General features: G+C 40.2%; 1 protein-coding gene across 29 annotated transcripts in view; it reads right to left on the reverse strand.

Annotated features, from left to right (window-relative positions):
- COL4A4 (collagen type IV alpha 4 chain) overlaps positions 1 to 22,447 on the reverse strand; it is a 197,129-nt gene that overhangs the window by 102,626 nt on the left and 72,056 nt on the right. For 27 of the 29 annotated variants that reach the window (XR_922837.3, XR_001738602.2, XR_007069255.1 and 24 more), the window contains exons 21-25: positions 19,883 to 19,972; positions 18,668 to 18,831; positions 12,130 to 12,202; positions 10,458 to 10,564; positions 7,909 to 8,092 (exon numbers count right to left, since the gene is read on the reverse strand). Coding sequence is in view for 26 of the 29 variants with exons in the window: in XM_011510565.3 (XP_011508867.1) it covers positions 7,909 to 8,092; positions 10,458 to 10,564; positions 12,130 to 12,202; positions 18,668 to 18,831; positions 19,883 to 19,972 (618 nt within the window). In the remaining 3 variants the exon portion in view is untranslated. Of the gene's footprint in view, positions 1 to 7,908; positions 8,093 to 10,457; positions 10,565 to 12,129; positions 12,203 to 15,986; positions 16,163 to 18,667; positions 18,832 to 19,882; positions 19,973 to 22,447 lie in introns of those variants that run through there. The other 2 variants (XM_005246282.4, XM_011510572.4) reach the window with 2 other exon arrangements.

Genomic DNA, 22,447 nt, shown 5'->3' on the forward strand with positions numbered 1-22,447 from the left:
TATCCAGAATCTACAATGAACTCAAACAAATTTACAAGAAAAAAACAAACAACCCCATCAAAAAGTGGGCGAAGGACATGAACAGACACTTCTCAAAAGAAGACATTTATGCAGCCAAAAAACAATGAAAAAATGCTCACCATCACTGGCCATCAGAGAAATGCAAATCAAAACCACAATGAGATACCATCTCACACCAGTTAGAATGGCAATCATTAAAAAGTCAGGAAACAACAAGTGCTGGAGAGGATGTGGAGAAATAGGAACACTTTTACACTGTTGGTGGGACTGTAAACTAGTTCAACCATTGTGGAAGTCAGTGTGGCGATTCCTCAGGGATCTAGAACTAGAAATACCATTTGAACCAGCCATCCCATTACTGGGTATATACCCAAAGGATTATAAATCATGCTGCTTTAAAGACACATGCACACGTATGTTTATTGCGGCATTATTCACAATAGCAAAGACTTGGAACCAACCCAAATGTCCAACAATGATAGACTGGATTAAGAAAATGTGGCACATATACACCATGGAATACTATGCAGCCATAAAAAACAATGAGTGCATGTCCTTTGTAGGGACATGGATGAAACTGGAAATCATCATTCTCAGTAAACTATCGCAAGAACAAAAAACCAAACACCACATATTCTCACTCATAGGTGGGAATTGAACAATGAGAACACATAGACACAGGAAGGGGAACATCACACTCTGGGGACTGTTGTGGGGTGGGGGGAGGGGGGAGGGGGGAGGATAGCATTAGGAGTTATACCTAATGCTAGATGACGAGTTAGTGGGTGCAGCACAGCAGCATGTCACATGTATACATATGTAACTAACCTGCACATTGTGCACATGTACCCTAAAACTTAAAGTATAATAATAAATAAATAAATAAATAAATAAATGCTAAAAGGAGTTCTAAACCTTGAAACAAAAGCCTGATATGCACCAAAATAGAACCTCTTGAAACTTTAGAACTCACACGGCCTATAATACAATAACACAATGAAAAGACAACTATCTGGGTAACAATTAACATGATGAAGAGAACAATACCTCACATCTCAATATTCATGTTGAGTGTAAATGCTCCACTTCAAAGATACGGGATGGCAAAATGGACAAAAACAACACAATCCAAATATCTGCTGTCTTTAAGAGGCTAACACAGAAATACTCATATAAACTCAAGATAAAGGGGTAGGAAAATGTATTCCATGCAGATAGAAACCAAAGGCAGCAGGGATAGCTATTCTTGTATCAGAAAAAACAAACTTCAAAATAACAATAGTAATAACAAAAAGACAAAGATGGTCACTATGTAATGATAAAACGATCAACAAGAAGATACTACAATCATAAATTTATATGCACCAAACACTGGAGCTTTTAGATTCAAAAAACAATTACTACTAGACCTAAGAAATGAGATAGACAGCAAAACAATAATAGTGGGAGACTTCAATACACCACTGACAGCACTAGACAGATCTTCATGACAGAACGTCAACAGAGAAACAATGGATGTAAGTGACACACTAGAGCAAATTAACTTAACAGACATTTACAGAACATTCTACCCAAGATCTGCAGGATATACATTCTTCTCAGAAGCATGGAACATTCTCCAAGATAGACCATATGACAGGCCACAAAATAAGTCTCAATAAATTTTTTAAAACTGAAATTGTATCAAGTATCTTCTCAGACCACAGTGGAATAAAATTAGAAATCAACTCCAAAAGGAACCCTCAAAATTATACAAATACATGGAAATTAAATAATCTGCTCCTGAATGATATCTGGGTTAACAATGAAATCAGGATGGACATTTAAAAATTATTTGAATTGAATGATAATATTGACACAAGTTTTCAAAACATCTGGAATACAGCAAAAGCAGTGCTAAGAGGAAAGCTTATAGTGCTAACTGCCTACATCAAAAAGTCTGAAAAAGCACACATTGACAACCTAAAGTCACACCTCAAGGAACTAGAAAAACAAAAGCATACTAAACTTAGAGCTAGAAGAAGAAATAACAAAGATCAGACTGAACCAAATGAAATGCAAACCAAAAAAATATGAAAAATTAATGAATAAAAAGCTAGTTAAAAAGCCGTTTCCTTGAAAAAATAAACAAAATCAATAGACCATTAGCTAGATTAAACAAGAAAAGAAGAGAGAAGATCCAAATAAGCTCAATTAGAACCGAAACTGGGGTCATTACAACCAACACCACAGAAATACAAAAGACCATTCAAGACTACTATGGATACCTTTATGTACACAAACTAGGAAATCTAGAGGAAATGGACAAATTCCTGGAAACATAAAACCCTACTAGATTATATCAGGAAGAAATAGAAACCTCAAACAAACCAATAACAAGCAGTGAGATTGAATCAGTAATTTTTAAATTCCCAAGAAAACAAACCCAGAATCAGATGGATTCACAGCTAAATTCTACTTAGACACTGAGAGAAAAGAATTGGTACAAATCCTACTGAAACTGTTCCAAAAGATTGATAAAGAAGGCATCCTCCCTAAATCATTCTATTAAGCTAGTATCATCCTGATACCAACACAGGAAAAGATACACACACACACACACAAACTACAGACCAATTTCCTTGATGAACATAGATGCAAAAATCCTCAACAAAATACTAAATGAATTGAACAGCATATCAAAAAGAGAATTCATCATGATCAAGTGGTTTTCATCCCAGGGATGTAGGGATGGTTTAATATATGCAAGTCAATAAATGTGATCCATCACATAAACATAATTAAAAACAAAAACCACATGATCAATAGATGCAGAAAAAGCATTCGACAAAATCCAGCATTCCTTTATGACAAAAAATCTCAACAAACAAGGCATAGATGGGACCTACCTCAAATAATAATAACTATGTATGACAAACCCACAGATAACATCATATGGAATGGAAAAAAGTTGAAAGCATTCCCCCTGAGAACAGGAACAAGAGAAGGATGCCCACTTTCACCACTCCTATTCAACATAGTTCTGGAAGTACTAGCCAGAGCAATTAGGTAAGAGAAATAAATAAACAGCATCAAAATTAGAAAAGAGGAAGTCAAACTATCACTGTTTGCCGATAATATGATTGTACACTTACAAAATCCTAAGGATTCTTCAAAAATACTCTTAGATATGATAAACAAATTCAGTAAAGTCTCAGGTTACAAAATCATTGTACATAAATCAGTAGCATTGCTATACACCAACAACAATCAAGTTGAGAATCAAATTAATAACTCAATTCCTTTTACAACAGCTGTGAAAACTAAAATAAAATAACTAAAAATATACTTAACCAAGGAGGTGAAAGTTCTCAAAAAGGAGAACTACAAAACACTGTTGAAAGAAATCATAGATGACACAAATGGAAATGCATCCAGTGTTTATGGATTGGGATAATTGATAATGTGAAAATGACCACACTTCAAAAGTAATCTACAGATTCAGTGGAATTCCCATCAAAATATGCACATCATTTTTCATAGAATTAGAAAAAACAATCCTGAATTTTGTATTGAACCAAAAAAGAGCCTGAATAGACAAAGCAATCCTAAGCAAAAAAGAACAAATCTGGAGACATCACATTACTGAACTTCAAATTATACTACAAGGCTTTAGTTACCAAAACAGCATGGTACTGTTGTAAAAGTAGGCACATACACCAATGGAACAGCACAGAGAATCCAGAAACAAAGCCAAATATCTACAGCTAACTGATCTTTAACAAAGCATACAAAAACAAAAAATTGGGGGGTGGACACCCTATTTAATAAATGATGCTGGGAAAACTGCCAAGCTACATGTATTAGAAGAATAAAACCGGATTCCTATCTCTCACCTTATACAAAAATCAACTGAAGATGGTTCAAAGACTTAAATATAAGACCTGAAACTATCAAAATTCTATAAGACAACATTGGAAAAACTCATATAGATATTGGCCTCAGCAAAGAATTCATGAATAAGACCCCAAAAGCAAATGCAACAAAAACTAAATACATAAATGGGACCCAGTTAAACTAAAAGGCCTCTGCACAACAAAAAAAATAAATAAGTAGAGTAAACAGAAACCCACAGAATGGGAGAAGCTATTTGCAAACTATGCATCCGACAAAGGGCCAGTATGCGGAATCTACAAAGAACTCAAACAAAACACCAAGAAAAAAACAAATAATCCCATTAAAAAGTGGGAAAAGGACATGAATAGACATTTCTCAAAGTAAGATAAACAAATGGACAACAAGCATGTGAAAAAATACTCAACATCACTAATCATTAGGGAAATGCCAATTAAAACTGCAATGAGATATTGCCTTACTCCTGCAAAAAATGGCCATTATTTAAAGACAAAAAACAATAGATATTGGCATGGATGTGGAGAAAAGGGAACACTTATACAATGCTGATGGAAATGTAAATTAGTACAACCTCTGTAGAAAACAAGTGTGGAGATTCCCTAAAGAGATAAAAGTAGATCCACCATGCGACCCAGCAATCCCACTACTGGGTATCTACCCAAAGGAAGAGAAGTCATTATATGAAAAAGACACTTGCACATGTATGTTTATAGCAGCACAATTCACAATTGCAAAGATGTGGCACCAATCTAAGTGCCTGTTGACTAATGAGTGGATAAAGAAAATGTGGTATACAAAAAACATGGAATACTACTCAGCCATTAAAAGGAACAAAACAATGGCTTTTGCAGCAACTTAGATGGAGCTGGAGGCCATAATTATAAATGAAGTAACACAGGAGTGGAAAACCAAAAACTGTATGTTCTCACTTACGAGTGGGAGGTAAGTGATGAGTATGCAAAGGCATAAGAGTGATATAATGGACTTCAGAGATTCAGAAAAGGGAGGATGCCCCAAGACTAAACCAGGAAGAATTCAAATCTGGTTTATTTGGTTATTCAAATAGACCAATAACAAGTTCTGAAATTGAGGCAGTAACCAATGAGGTAGTGAGCCTACCAACCAAAAAAAGCCCACGACCAGATGGATTCACAGCCGAAGTTTACCAGAGCTACAAAGAGGAGCTGGTACCATTTCTTCTGAAACTATTCCAAACAATAGAAAAATAAGAACTCCTCCCTTACTCATTTTATGAGGCCAGCATCATCCTGATACCAAAACCTGGCAGAGACACAACAACAAAAATTTTCAAGCTAATATCCCTGATGAACCTTAATGCAAAAACCCTCAATAAAATACTGGCAAACGGAATCCAGCAGCACATCAAAAAGCATATCCACCACGATCAAGTCTGGGATGCAAGGCTGGTTCAACATATGCAAATCAATAAACATAATTCATCACATAAACAGAACCACTGACAAAAACCACATGATTATTTTAACAGAGACAGAAAAGGCCTTCAATAAAATTCAATATCTCTTCATGAAAAAACTCTCAATAAACTAGTTATTGATGGAACATATCTCAAAATAACAAGAGCTATTTATGACAAACCCATAGGCAATATCATACTGAATTTGCAAAAGCTGGAAGCATTCCCTTTGAAAACCAGCACAAGACAAGGATGCCCTCTCTCACCACTCCTATTCAACATAGTATTGGAAGTTCTGGCCAAGGCAATCAGGCAACAGAAAGAAATAAAGAGCATTCAAACAGGAAGAGAGGAAGTCAAATTGTCTCTGTTTGCAGATGACATGATTGTATATTTAGAAAATCCCATCGTCTCAGCCCAAAAACTCCTTAAGCTAAGCAACTTCAGCAAAGTCTCAGGATACAAAATCAATGTGCAAAATTCACAACCATTCCTATACATCAACAATAGGCAAGCAGAGAGCCAAATCATGAGTGAACTCCCATTCACAATTGCTACAAAGAGAAAAAAATACCTAGGAATACAACTTACAAGGAATATGAAGGACCTCTTCAAGGAGAACTACAAACTACTGCTCAAAGAAATAAGAGAGGACACAAACAAATGGAAAAACATTATACACTCTTGGATAGGAAGAATCAATATCATGAAAATGGCCATACTGCCCAAAGTAATTTATAGCTTCAGTACTATTCCCATCAAGCTATCATTGACTTTCTTCACAGAATTAGAAAAAAAAATTACTTTAAATTTCACATGGAACCAAAAAAGAGCCCATATAGCCAAGACCATCCTAAGCAAAAAGAACAAAGCTGGAGGGATCAAGCTACCTGACTTCAAACTATACTACAAGTCTACAGTAACCAAAACAGCATGGTACTGGTACCAAAGCAGATATACAGGCCAATGGAACAGAACAGAGACCTCAGAAATAACACTACACATCTACAACCATCTGCTTTTTGACAAACCTGATAAAAACAAGCTATGGGGAAAGGAGTCCCTATTTAATTAATGGTGTTGGGAAAACTGGCTAGCCATATGCAGAAAGCAGAAACTGGACCCCTTCCTTACATCTTATACAAAAATTAACCCAAGATGGATTAAAGACTTAAATGTAAAACCCAAAACCATAAAAACCCTAGAAGAAAACCTAGGCAATATCATTCAGGACATAGGCATGGGCAAAGACTTCATGATTAAAATACCAAAAGCAATTGCAAAAGAAGCCAAATTGACAAATGGGATCTAATCAAACTAAAGAGCTTCTGTGCAGCAAAAGAAACTGTCATCAGAGTGAACAAGCAACCTACAGAATGGGAGAAAATTTATGCAATCTACCCATCTGACAAAAGTCTAATATCCAGAATATACAAGGAACTTAAACAAATTTACAAGAAAAAACCAACCCCTTCAAAAAGTGGGTGAAGGATATGAACAGATATCCTTCTTCTCAAAAGAAGATATTTATGTGGCCAACAAACATGAAAAAAAGCTTTTCATCAGTGGTCATTAGAGAAATGCAAATCAAAACCACAATGAGATACCATCTCACGGCAGTTAGAGTAGAGATTATTAAAAAGTCAGGAAACAACAGATGCTGGAGAGGATATGGAGAAATAGGAACACTTTTACACTGTTGGTGGGAGTGTAAATTAGTTCAACCATGATGGAAGACAGTGTGGTGATTCCTCAAGGATCTAGAATCAAAAATACCATTTGACCCAGCAATCCCATTACTAGGTATATACCCAAAGGATTATAAATCATTCTACTATAAAGACACATGTAAACATATGTTTATTGCAGTACTATTTACCATAGCAAAGACTTGGAACCAAACCAAATGCCCATCAATGATAGACTGGACAAAGAAAATGTGGCATATATACACCATGGTATACTATGCAGCCATAAAAAAAGAATGAGAACATTTTCTTTTGTAGGGATGTGGATGAAGCTGGAAGCTATCAATCTCAGCACACTAACACAGGAACAGAAAACCAAACACCGCATGTTCTCGCTCATAAGTGGGAGTTGAACAATGAGAACACATGGACACAGGGAGGGGAACATCACATAATATCGAGACCTGTCAGGGGGTCAGGGGTAAGGGGAAGGAGAGCATTAGGACAAATACCTTAATGCATGTGGGGCTTAAAACCTAGATGATGGGTTGATAGATGCAGCAAACCACCATGGCACATGTATACCTATGTAACAAACCTGCTCATTCTACATATGTATCCCAGAACTTAAAGTAAAATTAAAGAAAAAGAAAAAGAAAAACACTTGAATACTGAGAAAAAAAAAAAGAAGGAGGAGGGAGGAAAGGGGTCTAGGGATACAAAAATCTACACGTTAGGTAAAATGTACACTACTCGGGTGACAGGTACACTAAAATCTCAGAATTCACCACTATATAATTCTTCCACATAAGAAAAATAAACACTTGTACCCCAAAGCTATTGAAATAAATAAAATTTTTTTAAAATTACCTTTCTGACCCTTCAAGCCATCAGGGCCCCTCACACCTGGGTGGCCTGGAACTCCTGGGTGGCCTCGCTCTCCTGGTGGACCAGGAAATCCCAGTCCTGGGGGCCCCACAGGTCCTGCTTTGCCTGGGGGGCCCAGAGGTCCAGGAAATCCTTTACCACCTGGGGTCGCATCTTCATGATCCCCCTGGGAATGTTATGTCATGAGTCAATTACCAACCACTGAATGTCCATGAACTCAAAGCAGTCATTGTAGGTTACAGAAACACACGCAAAAGTCCATAATTTCAGGAGACAGTTACTCTTAAGCAAATGTAAGTTTAAAATAAATAACTTAGATACTTTTTAATATTTTAAATATATATATATAGAAATGGAGTCTCTCTCTGTCACCCAGGCTGGTGTGCAGTGGTGCTATCTCGGTTCACTGCAGCCTCCACCTCCCAGGTTCAAGCGATTCTCCTGCCTCAGCCTCCTGAGTAGCTGGGATTACAGGCACCCACCAGCTCACCTGGCTAATTTTTGTATTTTTAGTAGAGACTGAGTTTCGCCATGTTGGCCAGGCTGGTCTCAAACCCCTGACCTCCACCTGCCTCAGCCTCCCAAAGTGCAGGGATTACAGGCGTCAGCCACCGCGCCTGGCCAATATACACATTTTACAATTTATATACATACATATAATATAAGCATGTGTGTTAAGCCTCAAATACTGGAAACAATGTGTGTGATATGCCTTAAATACAGAATAAGAGATTTATGTCAAACCATTCTCTAATATCATATGTCATAGAATATAGAAATAAGTAGATCAAGGGAGGTGGTGGGATTACAAATCAAATACATTCTTATGTATTCTCTTGACAAGATACATAGCTAGACTCCATCATCCTCCACCCCTGTGGGTAAAAGCCTAGCAAGTCCTTTCTCCTCTTGCATGACAATTTGACTTTTGGTTAACTGTCTGGTTCTGTTCCTCTGATAAAAATTAGATTGTCAACTACCTTCCTAGGCAGTACTGCTTATAGTAAAATCAATCCCCAGTTGCAAAATTTGCATCTGGTCTGGAAGAACTGTGGGGAGCCTGCATCAAGGATTCCCTCACTGGCAATCCCTGGTGGGGTTCTCAAAAGCTGTGCAGTGGATAACAGCTCCCATGGGGAATGAGGCTTTCAAGTCAGGGCTGCCTCCATGCCCACCATATGTGGGTCTCATCCCTTCTTGCACCCCACCTGACTGAACAGCTGCAAGCACTCTCAAATGCAAGGAATATCTGACACTGTCCTGCTGGCATTTTGAGTGACCTTTTATCCTTCTACATGGCCTGGTCTCAAATGTGGTCTACAACAGTCTTATGGATCTGGATTGTTTCAACGAATCTAGGAAGACCTCAGCGAACGTTGAAATTCGTCTCCTAGTTTGATCTATATAGACGCTGCTTTTTCACAATTAGATGAGTACATTATGACAATATCCACTCAGTGACAGTGATTTCTAAGTAGTTCCTTGAGAGGAAGAATGAATTAAGCAGAGATTACCAAGCCTAAAGCAGAGATCATTCACATACTTGTGATCAGGAGAAAGGTCAGAAAGCTATAAACACCATCTAAGCCAATTTCCAGGCTTCTCTCTCTTGTTCACTTGGATTCTGTCTGAAGGGTTTCCTGTAGAATCAGGACATGGTCTTTCCCTGTTGCAACACTCTCAGTGGCTTCCCATTATATATGGCAGGCAGCACAGGTTGGTAGAAATAGCATGCACTTTGAAATAAGACAGACAAGTTTTCACTCCTATTTTGCCTATTTGACAGATGGGTAGCCTTGAATATCAGATGCTAAGCCTCCATTTTCTTACTGTAAAATTGGAAAGGTATTGCTTTTCAGAAGACTGTTTTGAGGAAACCATCTAGTCTGGTTTCTGTGATATTGTAAGCATTCAGAAATACTGCACATATTTAAGATATTTTAAGTTCCTAAGCATCGGATCATCTCATCCTCTTCTTTTATGACCTTAATTACCATTACCTACACATGGTATCCACCCAACGCATGTCTGAAAAATGCAGCAACATCCTTTATCAGTGAGATTTTCCATCAGCCAACGCCTTGACTCTGTGGGTTTGCACGAGTTCACCCTTTCATGCTCACTACTTCCCCCATGTGCATCTTCTCCAGGAAACAGAATTGATGCTAAACATCGGGACCCGAGCTCCATCCTCCACCCCACAGAGTCAACTGAATACACCTAAAATCAGTGGGGCCCTTCTAGGATACAAGTTTCTCAGAAGAAAATGAACACCACGAGAATGATATAAAGACCAAGGACCGAAAGTCCTGCTAGGACTGAACTGCCAAGAGGATTTTAGACCATGTCCAATGATGCTATACCTCTTAAAACAATCATCTTTCCATGTCAGGGTGCCAAAAGTGACTCTGATTTATAGTATGTTGATATTTTACTGAATTTCAGCTTGGCAAATAGAGAAAGGGGAAATAGTTGTTTGTATGACCATATAAGAAAGTGAAATTCTATAGCAAGAGAAGAATTCTACATACTGGAGGTCCTGGATCCCCTTTTTCTCCAGCATGTCCATCCCGACCATGTGATCCTGGCTGCCCTGGAAATCCTGGGGGCCCATCAGGACCTCTTTCTCCTTTGTGCCCTGGAAATAGAGGTCAAAAGATATTCAAGCTCTTATCAGCAGAGGGTAAAGTAGGATAGAGAGGACAAAAAATAAAGAAAATGACCTTGATTCTGGGTTGGTAGTTTCCTGTGTATCTCAATTGCTCAAGTCACATAAAACATGCCAAAGCCAGAGGGGAGAATGACAATTGCTAGAACCATTGAATCTCTTTACTTGGGAAAAGCTCCTTTTCCCATTCCAGCAAGGAGCTGGTGTGTGAAGGTGCCAATCACAGAATCTTCCCCTACCTGTGATGCCAAGCACAGCACTCTATCCCTGGCCATGGGAAAGGGGGAATGGTCTGCGGTTGGGTACTTGCCCTAAGCTAATCAGTCCTTTCTGAAATTATTTTTCTATTTGGAGCTGACAAAGCAGGGCTCTCTTCATCTCTGGATGTAAGAACTTGGAGCTGCCTGGGGGTATGAAAATCAGTCTGATGGGAGAAAATATAGATGGTACAATGTGAGATGAAAGATGCAGGGAGAGCCTCTTGATGCCACTGGAGGCCGGGATCTGGTTGTCCCAATGCCAACCTGTGATGGTTAATATTAAGTGTCAACTTGATTGGAATGAAGGATGCCTACATAGCTGGTAAAGGGTTGTTGTTGGGTGTGTCTGTGAGGGTGTTGCCAGAGGAGATTAACATTTGAGTCAGTGGACTGCGACAGGAAGACCTACTCCCAATGTGGGTGGGCACCATCCAATTAGCTGCCAGCACAGCTGGAACAAAGCAGGTGGAAGAAGGTGGGATAAGCTGGCTTGCTGAGTCTTCTGGCTTTCATCTTTCTCCTGTGCTGAATGCTTCCTGCCCTTGGACATCAGTCTCCAGGTTCTTCGGCCTTTGGACTCTTAAACTTACATCAGTGGTTTGCCAGGGCTCTTGTGCCTTCAGCCACAGACTGAGGGCCACACTGTTGGCTTCCCTACTTTTGAGGCTTTTGGACTCAAAAGTAGGAAAGCCACTACTTTTGGGGCTGAGCCACTACTGGCTTCCTTGCTCCTCAGCTTGCAGACAGCCTGTAGTGGGGTTTCACCTTGAGATCATATGAGTCAATTCTCCTTAATAAACTCCTTTTCATATACACATATATCCTATTAGTTCTGTCCCTGGGGAACTCTTACTAATAAAAAACACTACCTTTTAATATTTCACATTTTGTTTAGGTCAATAAATTACTTAAAAAAACGATTTCAAGCTGGGCTTCTTTCATTTACAATGAAAATATTATTGACTAATATAGAATACTGTAATGTGGTGAATAAACACCAGCCAAGCCAAAGGAGGGCTTGAGCCAAACTCAAGTTCACTATAATGAAGATGTGAATGTGTGGCTAAAGGAATATTTATGTTTTCAAATAAGAGACAGGGGATTTGGCTCAACATTCATACAACCTTATGAAGGGCAGGAAGTATTTTTTTAAGTAATCTCAACCATCCTAAATTGTATAGAATTGATCTATGGTCACAGGGGAAATTACTGCAAGAGGAGGGTCCATACATCATTCATAAAATGGCAGGGAGTTAAGTGATTGATTATGCTCACCTTTAACTCTTGATACAACCATGTCACCCTTCGCCCCTTTGTTGCCAGGTGGTCCAGAGGCACCATGCTTTCCCTTGGTGAAAAATAAGAGAAACAAATTAGGTTAATTGTGATGGATCAACAGTTACATCTGTACATATTGAATCTCTCTCTTCTTCCCTCCTAAATCTCTTGTTAAAGATTCTAGCTTGGCATTCTTGGTCTCTTCCACTTCCCTGCCTTCCAAGGTAGTCCTGTCTTGCAAAGCTGGGGCTCTTGAACTACATGTCAAATGTAAAAGCTGGTGAAATCTGAATAAGGTCTGTACCTGAGTTAAGAGGACTGTATCAATGACCATTTCCTGGTTTTGACAGTGTACTGTGGTTATGTAAATATGGTTATGTGTATGTATCACTGGGGAAGCTGGGGAAGCATACATGGGAACTTTATGACTGTGCAACGTCTTGTGAGTCAACTACCTCAAATTAAAATTTATAACTAATTTTTGTAATTATCATGGGCTTTGTAATGTGAAATGGAGAGGAAAGAAGAGAGTGGGATAACTACAAGAGCTGCCACCAGAGCTGAAGGTAGAGATTTAGGGATAAGTTTGTGATGAAAAAGGCATGGAAGTGACGTCCTGCTAAGGAAAGTTGATGAGCAGGAGAAGAGGAATTAAGAACCTTTTCTGAAGCTAATATATTTATTCTGTATAACAGGTAAATAGCTAATTTTGGCTGACATGCTCATGCTCTCTTAACCACAACATTGCTCAAATCTGAATAATTTGAGTCATACTTTTTAAGTGTTACATATTACTGAATATCAAACCATGTCAAAATTATGGGAACCTGGCTGGGTGCAGTGGCTCACATCTATAATCCCAGCATTTTGAGAGGCCAAGGAAGGCGGATCACTTGAGGCCAAGAGTTCGAGACTAGCCTGGCCAACATGGTGAAACCCCGTCCCTACTAAAAATACAAAAATTAGCTGGATGTGATGGTGCACACCTGTAGTCATAGCTACTTGGGAGGCTGAGGCATAAGAATCACTTGAACCCAGGAGGTGGAGGTTGCAGTGAGCTGAGATCGTGCCACTGTACTCCAGCCTGGGTGACAGAGCAAGACTCTGTGTCAAAAAATATATATATATGAACCTATTGTCAGTATATTAGGGTGGCCAAGCACCATTTCAAATACCATTATAGAAACACTATACAGAGCCCAAGGTTACTTACCTAGTGATATCAATAATCAAAAAACCACAGCAAAGAAATTGGAGGGAGGTAAAAATGACTGAGCAAGCCAGTTGCTTTGCTCACACAGATGCCACTACCTTGTCGTATTTTCTTTTTATTTATTTTCTTTTTTTGAGACGGGGTCTCACTTCATCCCCCAGGCTGCAGTGCAGTGGCACAATCATAACTCACTGCAGCCTTAAACCTCTGGGCTCAAGCAATCCTCCTACCTCAGCCTCTCAGTTAGCTAGAACTGCAGGTGCATGCCACCATGCCTGGCTAATTGGATTTTACTTTTTTGTGTGTAGAGATGGGGTCTTGCTGTATTGCCCAGGCTGGTCTCAAACTCCTAGCCTTAAGGGATCCTGCTGCCTCTGAAAGTGTTGAGGCTACAGGAGTAAGCCACCACACCTGGTCTTGTCTTATTTTCACACAATCTAACAATGTGTTCAAGCAAGCTTAACTATCTTTTTTTAACCGGCTGTACTAATTTATAAGCTGAGAGCTATAGAGGGGAGGAGGGTACCAGTGGAGATGGGCACAGTGGCATCAGCAATCATCAGGCAGTAACAGTGAAGAGGAAGCCAAAAATGCAAACAACAGACATAAAAACTCAAATGGACAACAGGGTTGGAAGCCATTTCATGCAGAGAAAAAAAGTATGTCCACACATAACTCAATATCTCTGATATCACTCTAGTATAGCATCCTGTTTGTAGCAATGTCTGTGAACCATCAAAAAGGTGGGTAGAACAAATTTCTTAGTATAAATCAATATATTAGAAAGAATTAGAAATCATAAAGTACTAATGTAGGTTGGGTTTTCTTTTATTCTTATTTTTACTATATATGCTAGTCATAAGTAGCAGTGGGGCCTGGCCAAAGTGTATGTCATATGGTATCCTGCCCAAGAAATGGATAAAGAAAATGCCCTTCTGAAGAATAAATTATCAGGACAGAAAACTGTTCACATAGCATTTGGACAAATTTCTTTCCAGAAAGAGAAAAAAGTGGAATGCTTAATAAATAAGACTTTGGTACCTTGGAAGAATGAACCCATCCCAGGAGTCTGAGCAGTGTATTACTCAGCACATTGGAGACTTCAAATGTATGACGAATTGCTCTAATGCTCTGTAGGTGTCGAATTTTAAGTACTAGAGTAGATCATAGACTTATTTGAGCTAGTAAGGAAAACTATTACTGGACTTCATTAAAGAAACATTTACTGAAAACATTACTGAACCATTACTAAACCATTGTTTAGTAAATGTTACTAAACATTACTAAAACCATTACTGTAGTTTTCTTTGAAAACTACAAAGAACCAGGCATTACTCTGAGTACTGAGAATACAGCAGTTAACTAGTGAAATAAATGTGTAACCTAAGCGATTCCTGGGGCAAAGGTTCTCAGCAGCTTCAGACAGAGAGCTACTTTTTACAATCTTAAGACCTGAGATCACCAAACACTTGTGTTACTCTAACAACGGAAGCCCAGCAGCAACAAAAACTCCTCTCCGGGCTGGGCACGGTGGCTCATGCCTGTAATCCCAGCACTTTGGGAGGCTGAAGTGGGAAGATCACCTGAGGTCAGGAGTTCAAGACCAGCCTGACCAAAAAGGTGAAACCCTGTCTCTACTAAAAATACAAAATTAGCTGGGTGTGGTGGTACATGCCTGTAGTCTCAGCTACTCGAGAGGCTGAGGCAGCAGAATCGCCTGAACCCGGGAGGCAGATGTTGCGGTGAGCTGAGATTGCACCATTGCACTCCAGCCTGGGCGACAAGAGTGAAATTCCACCAAAAAAAAAAACAAAAGCAAAACGAAACAAAAAAAACACTTCCTCTCTGCCAGGCATATCCTAGTTGTTCAGTCTAGATAAGGGACATCAACTGCAGATGCCTACAGGGGTGGCGCCTGTCCAGTCCAAGGGGAACAGGTGGGTAGGCATGGGGGGAATCAACCCGCAGCCACAGCAGCAGTGGGAACGCAATAACCTTGTGTTCATAAACTTCTAATATCTCAGGAGAAGCCATAAACCTCACATTAATAACTCAAAAACAAACACCATGAGGACACAACCAAACATTCCAGCAGGTCAGAAATAGCCCATATATTAGTCCACTTTTGCTTCGCTATAAAGAAATACCTGAGGCCGGGTAATTTGTAAAGAAAAGGGGCTCATGGTTCTGCAGACTGTACAAGCCTGGCACCAGCATCTGCTCAGCTTCTGGTAAGCCCTCAGGAAGCTTCCAATCATGGCGGAAGGTGAAGTGGGAAGCCAGTGTATCACATGGTGAGAGAGGGAGCAAGAGAGGAAAGCAGGAGGTCCCAGACTCCTTTGAACAACCAGATCTCCTGTGAACTAACTGAGCAAGAACTAAGAACTCATTCATCACCAAAGGGATGGAGCTAAGCCATTCGTGAGGGATCCACCCCCATGACCAAAACACCTCCCACCAGGCCCCACCTCAAACACTGGGGATTACATTTCAACATGAGATTTGGAGGGGGCACACATCCAAACGTTATCAGCCTGTGACAGTTTGCGACCTTTGGTTCGCTCTGCAGCCTCCTGGACTTTAATTCACTGGTATGTACCTTATACAGTGTGCAAAACACATGACTCAATTGAATTCTTACCAACAAGCCTCTAAGATGGTGTTCTTATATCCATTTTATAAATGCTGCAAGTAAAACTTAGAAGACTGCAGAGCTCCCAAATGTCGGAGATGGGATCTGAAGCTGGTCCACTTGCTCCTAGGCCCTAGTGCCTTGCACTAGAGCATCCTGGCCGGAAATCCCATCCTAGGGAGCGCCGTCAGGCTAAGGCAATGAATGCAAAGACTTGGTTCAATTATACAAACAATTGCAAAGAACTTAAGCCTAGTTTTCTGTTTTCTTCTTTCCTACCAATCTGTGGCTGCTAGGGCCAGAGACAAGCAGACCATCTCCAGAGAGAGGAGATGTAGGGAGGATGGAGAGCCCCCAAGAGCGAGAGCACCCCATAGTCTGCACCGTCTTTCATGCTCTTCTGTCTGTCCTTCCCTTCCTCCTTTCCCTTCTTTTCTTCCCTCCTTCCTTTCCTTTCTTTCTTTCCCTTCCTTTTCTTCTCTCTCTTCCCCTTCTCCTCCCCCTTCCCTCCCTTCTCTACCCTTTCCTTCCCTAGTGCCCCATGGTATGACCCTGGTCCCTGACTATGACCACAATGTAATGAATTTAATGCAGAGAAGCCATATGGACAGAATCATATACACAACAGACCAGATACACAATCAGAAACGTGGCCAGCCTACAAAGGAAAGCCCCATAGAGCAACTGAATTAAGTAAACCTTAGCCATGATAACCCTAGATAAACAAGCAGTCCTCACTCAAAGATGTTAGCCCTAAGTAGCAACTCAACAGGAAGCCGCAAAAATATTTTAGAGCCATTAAAATCTTCACTAAGAAGATTAAGTACCAACACACACAAAAATGACTATGGTAAAATGTTGAATGCAAACTACTTAACAATTGCAACCATGCTTATGCACATACATGCATTAAGGACCTAGCTTCCTATTGAGCAGAGGTGGCCAGTGGGCTTTGTACATGTGACAAGGGTACTGCTGGGACACCTTAATCATTAACTTCACTTAAGGCCCTCGGGTTGGAACCTTATTTTCATGAGATTTTCTGGGGAAAATGGAAAAAAGTCCTTTGGGGCTTGATGGTCAAGTTCCAGGCCATCCCAGGATTGAGCCTTGTTAATAAGGAGGGGACAGAGGGCTCTCTCCAGTCTCCAGGGGAGTACCCCAGTGGGCAGTGCTTGCATTATGAGCAATCAGACAGCTGAGAGGCTTTGCCTCAACCTGCTTCATCTGTAACTTTCACCAAATGAGAACCACCTTGAGGTAAATCTCATCCACTCTCTGGCATGATATCACGTAAACTCTGACAAAGCCAGTATTTATATCCCCAGCCCAAACCTCTCATCTGAATCCTTAAGTTGAATATCATCCTACTGCCTACTTGACTTCTTGACTTGACTGTATAATAGGCATCTCAAACTTGAAATGTCTCAAACAGTACTGCTTTCTTTCCTCACCCAATGCCCACTCCTTCCATCGCCTTCCCATCTCAGTACATGGCAACTGCCTTCTTCCAGTGGCTCAAACAAAAAACCCTGGTTCTGTCCCTTACTTCTCTTTTCCTTATATCCTATGTCCAAACTAACAGCCAACATGTTGGCTCTGTCTTCAAAATATATCCAGAATCTGACCACCTTGCACCACACCCAGCACCACCACATTAAGGCATTGGCTGTCATATCTCACCAGGATTACACAGCAGCCTCCCAGCTCATCTCCCAGCCAATGTCCCTTATCCATATGGTCTATGCTCCACAGAGCAACCAGAGTGAGTGATCCATTTAAAACTATTGTCTCACTCTTCTTAAAACTCTCCCCTGGCTGTTTCATGTAGTCTAGAGTAAAGGCTCAGACCTCACCCATCTGTAAAGCCCCATGCTCTGCAGCCCTTCCTAACCTCCTGCCAGTTCCTTGACTTCATTTCCTGCTCTGCCCCTCTCTCTCTTCTCTCCAGCTACAATCGATGGTGATGGCGTTTATCACCACATGACATACTGGATATTTACTTGCTGATCTGTTAGATGGTCTGTGTCCTCTCTGAAGCTCTAGGAGGGCAGAGACTGGGCTCTGGTCCCTGCTGTATCCCCAGCACCTGAAACAAGGCCTAGAACATAGCAGGCACTTAACAATACCAATTAGTTGAATAAGTAAACGATGGATGAATGGATGAGTAAATAAACTGTTTTTGCAGGCATTAGCATAATGTTTGTAGGTTCAAAACATAAATCATATATCACACAATAAATTAGAAAGAGGCACCTCGATTTTTATCTCTACGTGTCTGATATGGTTTGGCTTTGTGACCCCACCCAAATCTCATCTCGAATTGTAATCGCCATAATCCCCATGTGTTGAGGGAGGGACCTGGTAGAAGGTGACTGGATCATGGGGAGGGTTTCCCCCATGCTGTTCTCACAATAGTGAGTGAGTTCTCATGAGATCTGATGGTTTTATAAGGGGCTCTTCCCTGTTCATGCTCTCTGTCACCTGCTGTCGTGTAAGACATGCCGGCTTCCCCTTCTGCCATGATTGTAAGTTTCCTGAGGCCTCCCCACCCATACAGAACTGCGAGTCAATTAAACCTCTTTCCTTAATAAATTACCTAGTCTTGGGTAGTATCTTTATGGTAGTGTGAAAACAGACTAATACCATGTCTCTTTTAACTGGAAAGATGACTGGTAAGAGGTACTCACTGGTAGCCCTGGAGGTCCTTCAGCACCAGGAGGTCCTGGGTCACCTTTTGTTCCAAGCCAGCCAGGGAGCCCCAAGTCTCCCTTACTCCCCTGCCTCCCAGGAAGTCCTGGAGGGCCAGGGGGGCCCATGGGTCCAGGCTCACAGGCACAGAGTCCTTCATTTCCTAGACAGAGGATCAATGGCAGATTTGTCATATTTCCTGAATAAAATCCCCAATAAGGGCTTTACTGTACAAAACCAATAGCATAAATGAAGAACAAAGAGTCCGATATGCACTTCTTGCAGACAATTGAGAGCACGTGCTGTGGGGGCTGGGTGTGGCATGGGGCACTACATGGGGTGCCTAGGCATGGGATGTAGGGTGGGCATACCATTTCTAAACAAATGGAGGGTTTCGTTCCTTAATAAATTTATCCTGACAAATTCTAGGGAAAAGCTGATATCCAATTCTACTGAAGAAACGTTAAAAATAATTCAACTTTTTTATTTTTAAAAGTTTAAAAGCCCATCCTTTGGTTCCTCCTGAAAAAAAAACTGAAAAAATTAATTGGTGAGTGCACAAACCCTAAACAATTAAGGAGACAAAATAATACATGAAGAAGGATTTTGATTGCATTGAATATTATAATTGATAATTCACCACAATGCATTTTCCAATTATCAGGACTTTTTGTCTTAAACAAATGTCTTCAGGGTAGTCAGACTCCTCATCTGTGTTGATGCTGTCACACCCACCTGACTCAGTTGCCCAAAACGGCTCCAAACAATTTAGAGTGGAGAAGCAGAGAGACAGGCAATTGATGAGTCTGGGAAATATAGGTCCCACAAAAATCAAACATCAATACTGTCCTATCACTGCCACTCTCAAGGAATCAAGAGGACCTTGTGAGCAAAGTCACCATTTGCAGACAAAATTCATGGCAGGCAAATGTTCCATATATATATATATATATATACATACATATATATAAATATATAAGACACAAGGCTTTGACTTTTATAATATATAAGACACAAGGCTTTATAAATATATAAGACACAAGGCTTTGACTTTTCAGTGACTTGTAATCACATAGCACTTAATGGAGTACTCTAGTGGGTGACTAAGGTGAGTAACAAATCTGAATGAAATGCCACATTACACATCTCAGAAATGCCCCCGATCATCCATGTACAGTTGTCTTCTAGAAATTCTACCTTTGGTGCCTACTTGCCTTTTTCTCCTTTTGGGCCTCTTCCTCCTGGGGGACCAACTTTGCCTTTTATTCCTTGTGGTCCGGGGTTCCCAACACTACAGTATATCACTGTCAAGGAGGTAAGGGGGTGGGCAGAGAGAATCACATAATTTTTCTGACTGTCTTCTATAGAATAAGTGACTTTTGCACTCACATCCTCCCCCACGTGCTTCCTTTCCCAACCCCATTCTTTGCGCCCTTGTTTTCCTAGGATTCTTTCTGTCTGAAATAAGAATATACACACATATAGATGATGCAGTGGTTATGGCATGCTTCTGCTACCATAACCATTGATAAAGCCAACCCTAATCTCAGCCCTACCTTAAATTAATGGGTTGCAAAACAAGATAATGGACAACAAAACAAAACAAATAAACAAAAAAATGGACTCAGTGTATGGCAAAGATATTCCCCCACTCAGTGATCAATTCTTAGCTAATGAAGAAAATGGAAAAGCAGAGCTTATAGAAATAAAATTTCAGAGATGTCAGTTAAAGACGACAGATAAAATGCAAACAGTTTGGCATCCTCCCCAAATCCCAGTAGAGTAAAAGAATATTATAAAAAAAGCATAAACTGGCCTGGTGCGATGGCTCACACCTGTAATCCCAGCACTTTGGGAGACCAAGGTGGGTGGATTGCTTGAGGTCAGGAGTTTGAGACCAGCCTGGCCAACATGGTAAAACCCCCCCCATCTCTGCAAAATCACAAAAATTAGCCAGCCACGGTGGTGCGTGCCTGTAATCCCCGCTACTTGAGAGGCCAAGGCAGGAGAATCGCTTGAACCTGGGAGGCAGAGGTTGCAGTGAGCTGAGATCGCACCACTGTACTCCAGCCTGGGCAACAGAATGAGACTCCATCTCAAAATAAATAAATAAGTAAATAAATAAAATAAATAAATAAATAAAAATAAGTATAAACCCACAGGACAAGGAAAAAGGGAGAGGAACCAGCAACAACCAAGTAAAAGAACTTGGCAGATCCTTAAAAAAAAAAAAAAAAGCTGAATTTGAAACAGGAAGCTTAGAAAGCTGAGAAAGAACCTGATTTACCCCAGAAATGTCTCCTAAATTTCAAGAATCTGTACCTCTGGAATAAGAACAACAGTGAGGTCCAAAACAGGATGATTTGTCTAAAAAAACAGACCAAAAGATCCCCTTCCTGAAATTGGCAGCAGGGAAAGAAAATAGACCCCCTACTATCCCCGCCAAAAAAACCTAGAAGAAACACGCATCACAGCAAGCTATTTTAATTTATTTTACAATTAAAACAGAAGATGAGGGAGAGTATTGCATCCCTGAAACATGAACAGCCTGCTACAAAAGGAAACATTAAAAGAGAACACAGCAATTGAAAAACAGATATAGATATAGATATAGATATAGATATAGATATAGATATAGATATAGATATAAATAGATCATGAGAGCAGAAATTTAAAAATTCAGGTGAAGGGTTGTAATGTAGAGTTCAGGAAATCTCCCAGAAAGTGTTACAGAAAAATAAACAGCTGGAGAGTAATAGAGTAAAGGTTAAAAAAAAAAAAAAAAGACATGTAGGATTGATTTTCTGACAGATAGATAGAGTACAGAAAGAGAAAAAAGAGGGGAAAAAATGGAGGAGACAACGTTTTCAAAGGACACTTGATCTCTTCTCAGCCTTTTGGCTAAGATTGAATGCAAAGAAACACTTGAAGAAAAATTTTCAGAAATGAAGGATATAGGGCCAGGCACGGTGGCTCACATCTACAATCCCAGCACTTTGGGAGGCCAAAGGGGGCAGATCACCTGGGGTCAGGAGTTTGAGACCAGCCTGGCCAACATGGTGAAACCCTGTCTCTACTAAAAAATGCAAAAAATTAGCTGGGTGTGGTGGCACGTGCCTGTCATCCCAGCTACTCAGGAGGCTAAGGTAGAAGAATCGCTTGAACCAGGGAGGCAGAGGTTGCAGTGAACCAAGATTGCATCACTGCACTCCAGCCTGGGCAAGAGTAACACTCTGTCTCAGGAAGAAAAAAGAAAGAAAGAAAGAAAGAAAGAAAAGAAAAGAAAAGAAAAGAAAAGACATGACATGAAAGCTACATGCTGGATTAAAACTGCTTACTGACTGTGTGCAAGCCAGTACAAATGTACCCACACTAAGGCAAATCAAGTGGAATTTAAGACCCCAAAAACAAACAAAAAAAAAGAGCTCCTATGAGCTTCCAGAAAGGAAAATGGATTTCAAAACCAAAAAATAAAGTATCTAAATGTTATGAGTTCTCAGTAGCCAACACTGGAAGCTAGGAAACAATAGAAAATGCCATCAAAATCCTGAGGGAGAAAGATTTCCTAACTAAAATTTTATACTCAGCCAAACTAGAAATCAAAGTCCACAGCAGAATTAAGGCATTTTCAGACAAGCAAGATCTCCCAACTTTGCCCTTTTATTTACACTTTTTCCCAGGAAATATAATGAGGTAGTAAAGCATTAAAAAATATATGGGAAATAGAGGGCCCCAGAGAAAGAGAGAGGATGGAGGAAAGAAAGTCTCAGGATATTGGT

The sequence above is a fragment of the Homo sapiens genome, chromosome 2 (assembly GCF_000001405.40).
Source record: "Homo sapiens chromosome 2, GRCh38.p14 Primary Assembly".
NCBI lineage: Eukaryota > Metazoa > Chordata > Mammalia > Primates > Hominidae > Homo > Homo sapiens.